Source organism: Homo sapiens, chromosome 7, assembly GCF_000001405.40.
Source record: "Homo sapiens chromosome 7, GRCh38.p14 Primary Assembly".
Lineage (NCBI taxonomy): Eukaryota > Metazoa > Chordata > Mammalia > Primates > Hominidae > Homo > Homo sapiens.
Genome location: NC_000007.14, coordinates 38,223,461 through 38,231,529, shown reverse-complemented (window position 1 = coordinate 38,231,529; position 8,069 = coordinate 38,223,461). Strand labels below are relative to the sequence as shown.

The window sequence follows — 8,069 nt, the reverse complement described above, 5'->3', positions numbered from 1 at the left end:
TCTGCCCTTGAAAGCGGGGTATTGTCCAAGGTTTCTCCCCATGTGATAGTCTGAAATATGGCCTTGTGGGATGAGAAAGACCTGACTGTCCCCCAGCCCGACACCCGTAAAGGGTCTGTGCTGAGGTGGATTAGTAAAAGAGGAAAGCCTCTTGCAGTTGACGTGGAGGAAGGCCACTGTCTCCTGCTTGCCCCTGGGAACTGAATGTCTCGGTATAAAACCCGATTGTACATTTGTTCAAGTCTGAGATAGGAGAAAAGCTGCCCTGTGGCAGGAGGTGAGACATGTTTGCAATAATACTGCCTTGTTATTCTTTACTCCACTGAGATGTTTGGGTGGAGAGAAACATAAATCTGGCCTACGTGCACGTCCAGGCATAGTACTTTCCCTCGAACTTAATTATGATATAGATTCTTTTGCTCACGTTTTTTGTTGACCTTCTCCTTATTATCACCCTGCTCTCCTACTACATTCCTTTTTGCTGAAATAATGAAAATAATAATGAACAAAAACTGAAGACACTCAGAGGCCGGTGCCGGTGCAGGTCCTTGGTGTGCTGAGCACCGGTCCCCTGGGCCCACTATTGTTTCTCTATACTTTGTCTCTGCGTCTTATTTCTTTTCTCAGTCTCTCGCCCCACCCGACTAGAAATACCCACAGGTGTGGAGGGGCAGGCCACCCCTTCAGAAGTGACTTGATATGCACAAAAGGTCAGTTTCTACCCAAGCCAGCATCATCACCACTACAGGCAATTAGGTTTTTCTTCAATGACACAATGAATGATGAAAGAAAACTAACAGACATCCTGACTTCCCTTGAGTCAAGGGGAATATTCATGTTTGAAAAAACAGCACACAGTATAATTTAGTTCATTTTAATTGAAATTGGCTGAACGCAAAGGAAACATGATATGAATGGTTTAAGTCATTTTGTGCATTCAAAATAAGAGTATTTAGAACATTTCAGAACAATCAGAGAAAAACATGATTTCATGATAAAAATAATACAAATGTCTGGTGACATTTTACATGTATTCGCAATTCCTTTCTTCCCCTTTTGCAAGTCCAACACTTCAGGCCATACACATAATGCAAAACAAGAAAAATAAAACTAGCCACATTGACATGTCAGATTTTATTACACTTTTTAAAACTGTACAAAGAGCACATGTGCATGAGTTAAAAAACAAGGGAAATGTAGAGTGTTAAAAAAGAAATACAAAATAAATCTGAGACATGAAACAAAAAAATTCCATTCTGTGAATTGAAATAAAAAGGTATCTTGCTTACTAAAAAAGTGTTACTTCAATATATTAAGTCTTTTGATTAGGAATACAGCACAAGACTTTCTTCACCTATTTGTTAACACATCAGGCTCAGTCTCACTGAAGAGAGGATGAATCATGACATTACCTTACCAGCCACAGGCAGGCAACTAAATGTGCATGGATATGGTACAACGTCTGTGAGGTATTACAATAAATAAATCTTTATTAGCTGTTCAATAAAGCCAGCAGTGGACGTCACCATTTCAACTTTACTGTCGACAGGGAGACTCCACTGCCTGCCTCTTTTTGCCTCGATGACTTTCTGTGAGGGTTTTTCACACTTAGAAAAAGAGAGAAGACAAAAGTATTTAATAAATAGCATTAAAAGGCAAAATGCCACGGTCACCTTACATGTACATAAAAGTCTGTGTGCTGAAGAGGGGCTGTGACAGACACACGAAGGACCATGCGTGTGGTCACATTAGAATTCATGTTAAAACATTTTAGAAAAGGCTCAACTACGAGCATGCCCACATTTTTGCTTCGCGTCTACATGACTGTGGTGGAGAGATGCGGCTGAGGTGTGCTGGGGGCTGAGGAGGCAGGCACTGGGGCTCCATGCGCCGTGACCTTGGCTACCTCTCCCACCCAGTCAGCTTCTATCCCAGCTTCCCAATGACTCACAATCTGGCAGCTTTTTCCTTCTGTGGTTAAACTGTCAGGCAGATTTGCTGCTACTACAATTTACTTCAATTGCCTTCTATTTATGAGGTTAAAATGATTTTCTTTGATGACTTAAAGGGATTTAACAATGTGTTCCACTTTGGAGCCCATTAAGCATGACTGCTTTGGATGTACAGCAGCTTTCATCTCAGAGGCTCCAAAATCCTTGAGAAATGTCCCAGTGAGGGGCTGCAGTGGACCTGGTACCAGAAAGTGTGGGCCTGAGCCCCAGCGCTGCCTCGTCTAGCTGTGCAACCTTGGATAAGTGACCCATTCTATGTCTCTGCTGCTTCAAATGTAAAATGGAGGTGATAACAGCACCTGCATCTCACAGGACTGCTGTCCTCTTAACATAGATTAGTACCTGTCATTAAAACAATGACATGTGACTGGCATGTAGACATTCTGGCTAAGTAAATTAACATAAATTCATCTCTATTCTTTAGAAATTTAGAAATCTGAGGTATTTTCAAAACCTTATAAATGTATACCTGTATAAAAAATGTTAAGACACTTGGCATTAATAAAATGTGACTGATAAATTCATGCAAGTAAGATAACTCTGGCTATCCTTACACTCTTATTCTTTGAATTCTACTTTGACTCTACTCAAAGGAAATCTCCATACTTAACTACTTTGTTGTTATGGTTTCATTTCAAACACTTACTTTAACAAAAGTAGTACTCATAGTTCTAAAAGTGGTTTCTCACTGTCCTGTTTTTCTTCAGCTTCTTCAGATCCTACGTGGTGGAGAAGGGGACAAAGAAAAAGTATTTCATTCCATTACAGTAACAAACTATTTTAAATAAATAGGTTTAAAATTATAACATATACACATAAAAACATTAAACATATGTTTAATCCTCAAGAGATTTAGGTTAACTGCTATTTGAAAGCTTTATTTATTTCTTGTAACAGGAAAACCTTTAAACAATAATCTATCACTTACACTAATCTGTCAAAATGGATTTCACTTATGTACTAAGAATATTCATGCAGACCAATAACTATTATCAATCACTATTCTTCCTCTGCCTCTTTGCTGACAAGCTTGCATATATTTTTTTACATGCAAAAATGTTGAGCTTGGTACAAATAATTGAATCTAGGTGTTTCTAACAATGGCTGTGGCAGACGAGCGAGAGAGCAGTGAGAGAGCACTGTGGCAGTGACCACAGTCTGGCCCTTCTGGATCAATGTCTCATGAGCTTCAGGATATTCCTAGATTTGACCTGGTCATTCCGCTCTGGAATTCTTTCCTTAGGATAGACCTATCCCTGAGGAAATAATGCTTATTATTCATTATGTAGATTTTCTCTCTAAAAATTAGAAAAGAAAGCTAAGTGTCTGAGAATAGAAGAAAGGTTAATACTGTAGTTCCATAACATATCTTGTATCCACTTAAAATTATGGTTATATAGAATTTATAACATGAAAAATGCATGCGCTGTAAGGTAAAAGCAAATGTATAGCAAATAAAACTTTAAATGCCATGAGATCACATTTGATAAAATTAAAAACCAAATATATGTGTGCAAACGAGAAAGAGTAGAAGAAAATAACCACGTAACTTTTATATATTTTTCTGGATATTTTAACATTTCTACAATAAACTTGAATTGACTTTATTAATAATTTTTAAATTATATTTTTAAAAAGCAGAATATGAATAATATAGGCAGCATGGGCACAATGATGTGAGATTAAACACACAGACACACACACATACACACACCCCAAGAAGGAAACTAAACTGTCAATACTGATGTTACCAAATAATTTGAAGGATACGTGATTTCTAATTTTTGTTCTTTCCACTTTTTTAAATGCATGGCTTTCATAATCAGGGAAGAGGAATTAAAAAAAAAGCAGAGGAGGCCCTGAGAGAAGACCAAAGTAGGGGGTGAGAGATGCCATCAATTCACACGTAAAAGCTGCAGCCTCTCTCAACTACGCCTGAACCTTGTTAGATAAGATACTTTAAAAAGGACATTTTTTTTTCCCTAAGGAGAATGTCTACCTGAATTATAGCCAAGAACAAATTTGTTATAGGGAAAGAATGCCTGATAATCTGAAGAAAACGTTTTAACCTCATAAATGTCACACGGTTAGGTTGAATTTGTAGTAAAATGAATAGGTAAAGACTTAACTGTTGAAGACTTTACTTTCTACCCTATTAACACACTGTCCATCATAGAGACAGGAGGTGGGGAACTGCCTGTCCTTACTGTGGAAGGAGGATGAGGAAGATGGTCACATCAGATCTTCCTGTTCCCAAGCTCACTTCAATCTGCTAGGCCAGTGGCACTGAAACCACAGTGAGTTGCCATGTCTTGGAATTATTTGGGAGTCCTAAATAAAGCTAAACCCTTAATTAAAATATAACAATATGTCTTCTTTACATATTTTAAAAGAGACTTCTTGCTACGGCCAAGTGAAGAAGTCAATAAATCCTCTCCCTGAAAGGCACCCCCAAAATGTGGCAAAATGGGCAAAACTAGCCATCTCACCACTGGAGAAATGACCAAAAGCACACAACAACTGGAGAAATGTTTATGTTTGAAACACTGCAGAATTCAGGGAATAGCAGTTGTGTCTTGCCTGGAGCTGCTCCTGTTCTTCTCCAACCTCCCAGTACCCAGCTCAATGGGCATGGAGGTTCTGCTAGGGTGAGGCAGGCCATGGGGACTGGCAGTAAAGCTACTCAGTTGAAGGGAGATCGCTTAGTTTGGAGTGGGGAGCCATGCTCATGCCCAGTGACACTGACAGTGAAGTGACAAATTCAGAGGGAGGTGAGCAGAAAGGGCCAACTACTCTGGGAGGCTGAGTTGTGGTCACCACTGGGACAAGCATATGCCCAGCTGGTGTTGTCTCCATGCACAGAGGAGACCCAAGAGAGCCCAAGCCAGCCAATTAGCCTGAGCTCTAAGCATACGCAGAGAGAGCAGGAAAGGACTTAGCAGAAAGTAAAAGCTGGGGAGGACTTGAAAATGGCCTGAACGCTGAAGGTGCTATCCAACCCATGTACATTTCTACCTGGCAGAGGATGGAAGCCTTGATCCAGGTATTTGAGTGCAATCCTCTGTGTAATCACTAGCTAGGCTCTGCCTAATCAGTAGGCTCTAGACATGGGTAACTCCTAGGAAGCTAGGCTTAAAAATATAGGCAAGAATTAATGGACAATAAAACAAAAAACTGAGAGAAAACAGAAGCAGCCACACATCCTAGGGTGTATAGATTTCACAGATTTAGCACAGCTATATAAAGATATAGCTCTTTACTAAACAAAGAGCAAGAACAGCAATGTTTCAGGAAAAAAATCAGAATCCAGAGTTACTTTATTTTCAGCAAAATACTTTTCATCAAAAAAAAAAAAAAAAAAAAAACAAGATAGGCAAAGATTCAAGAAAGTGTGACCATTCCCAGGAAAAAATGACAGTCAAAACAAACTATCTCTGAGTGAAAGAAAAAGACTGAAGAAAAGTTGAAGTGCTCAGAGACATCAAGCATATCAATCAACCATGTAATGGGAATCCCAGAAGGAGGAAAATGTCAGAAAAATGTTTGAAGAATTAATGGTTCAAATTTCTCAAATTGGCTGAGAAATATTAATCCACACATTTTATAAGGAGAATAAACACAGATTAGGATATATACAAAGAGATCCACATGCAGACACATCCGTGTCAACCTGCTGAAAGCCAAGGAATGCATTCAAATGAAAACACAACATATCAAAATTCATGTGATATCACTAAAGCAATTCCTAGAGGAAAATTTATGGCTTTAAATGGCTATATAAGAAAAGAAAAAAAAAGTATCAAATCAATCATATAAGTATTCACCTTAAGAAAGCAGAATTAAAAAAATAAAAATTGGTTTGGCACAAAATCAGTTTATAGTAAACTGATTTTAGCAAACGTGTCAAATCAGTACAATGGGGAAAGGTTGTCTTTTCAAGAACTTGTGCTGTTCAACTGAGTATCCAAAAGCAAGAGAATGAATTAATCCCTTACCTCCTCCATATTTGAAAATCAATTCAAAATGTATTGTAATCTTAATTGAAACATGTAAAACTAAAAAACCTTTTAGAAGAAAATGTAGCAGAAAATCTTCATGTCATAGAGTTAAAGAGTTCTTAGATATGAACACAAATATATTATCCATAAGAGAACAAATTCATAAACTACACTTAATCAAAATTTAAAACTTGTGCTTCAAAAGACTCTAGGAAGAAATGAAAAGACAAATAATAGACTGGGAAAAATATTTGTAAATCATATATGAAAACACTTTTATCTGGAATGTGTAAAGAATTCTTACAACTCAATAATAAAAAGAAAACACAATTAAAAATATGGCAAAAGACTTGAGATAGATTTTTCTCTAAATAAGACTTATGAATTACATATAATAGAAACATGAAAAATATCTCAGTATCACTACAAACATACAAATTAAAACCACAATGAGATACCACTTTAAATCTGCTAGCCGGGATATGATCAAAAAGACCCCATACTAAGCATTGGTGAATATATGGAGAAACTGAAATGCATACACAGTAATCTCCCTTATCCCTGGATACCTGAAACCACAGATAGTACTGTATCCTATCAGTATTATGTTTTTTCTTATACATACATACCTATGAAAAAGTTTGCCATAAGACGAACATGATAAAGTTCAGCATATGTTTTTTTTTCTTTTCTTATTAAGTTGAGAACTGTCACCTTTTCACTTAAAGGAAGCACTTTATGGTTTCTCTTTGGCATATATGAATTGCCAGAATTACTACTTTGCCATTGTTAAGTGAAATAAGGATTACTTGAACACAAGCACTGTGATACTGGGATGGTCAATCTGATAACCTGGATGGCTCCTAAGTGACTACCAGGTGGGCAGTGCATACAGTGTGGATCTGCTGGACAGAGGGATGATTCACGTTCTGGACAGGACGAAGCAGGAGAGTGTGGGATTTCATCATGCTACTCAGAACGGCACACAATTAAAAACTTATGGACTGTTTATTTCTGGAATTTTCCATTTAATATTTTCAGACCTCAATTGACCTCAGGTAAGTGAAACTGTGGATAAGAAAGGACTACTGTACATTATTGGAGGGAACGTAAAATAAAACAGCCACGATCAAGAACAGTTTGACAATTTTAAAAAAAGTTAAACAGAAACTTGCCACATGACACAGCAAATCCTCTCTTAGAAATCTGTTCAAGAATTACAAAAATAAACATCCACACAGAGGCATGTACATGAATGTTCATAGCTGGATATACTTATAATAACCAAAAGGTGGAAACAATCTAAATGTCCATCAACTTGTGGATACAGACAATATGTTGTATATCCATATAATGGAATAATACCCAGCCACAAAAAGGAGCAAAACACTGATATATGCTACAACATGGTTGGTCCTCAAACCTTATGCTAAGCAAGAGGCTGGATGCAAAAAGCCATGTATCATATCACTACATTTACATTAAATGCCCAGGAAAGGTAAATTTGTCAAGATACAAAGAAGATCAGTGGTTACTTAGGATTAGAGGTAGAAGTGGGGATTAACTGCAAATGAGCATGAAAGAAGTTTTTCAAGTAATGAAACTTCCAAAATTACACTGTAATATTGATTAAAAATTTATAAATTTACTAAAAATCATGCAATTATACATTTACAATGGATGAGTTTTATTATATGCAAATTACACCTCAATCAAGCTTTTTTAAAAAGTCAATATAATTCAGTATCCCTGGCAATGACTTTTCAATAATTTTCAAAATTTTGATTAAAAGGAAAAAGCTGTGTTTCGAATCTATTCACGACACATAGGGTGATCATAGAAATGATCATCTAAACAAGAACACTGCTGAGAGATACAAGGGCTTCTAATAATAACTATATGGGGCAACCAGAAGAAGGCAAGGCTGCTGCAGGCAAACCAGGATGCATGGCTACTCTGGGGAGGTGGCAACTTAGAATTGTAATGAATGCCTTATCTAGACTTGCACAGGACAGGCTATATTATGCAATTGAGCAATTCCTCATTTTAAGTTAATCTT

The 8,069-nt window shown here is 37.2% G+C and overlaps 1 protein-coding gene across 13 annotated transcripts in view; it reads right to left on the bottom strand.

The window, feature by feature from the left end:
• Nucleotides 861-8,069, bottom strand: part of STARD3NL (STARD3 N-terminal like) — a 52,425-nt gene continuing 45,216 nt past the window's right edge. For all 13 annotated transcript variants that reach the window (NM_001363340.2, NM_001363344.2, NM_001363346.2 and 10 more), the window contains 2 exons: nucleotides 2,659-2,731; nucleotides 861-1,607 (listed from right to left, as the gene is read on the bottom strand). In NM_001363340.2, coding sequence (NP_001350269.1) covers nucleotides 2,676-2,731 — 56 coding nt within the window. In that variant the 3' untranslated portion in view covers nucleotides 861-1,607; nucleotides 2,659-2,675. The remainder of the gene's footprint in view (nucleotides 1,608-2,658; nucleotides 2,732-8,069) is intronic.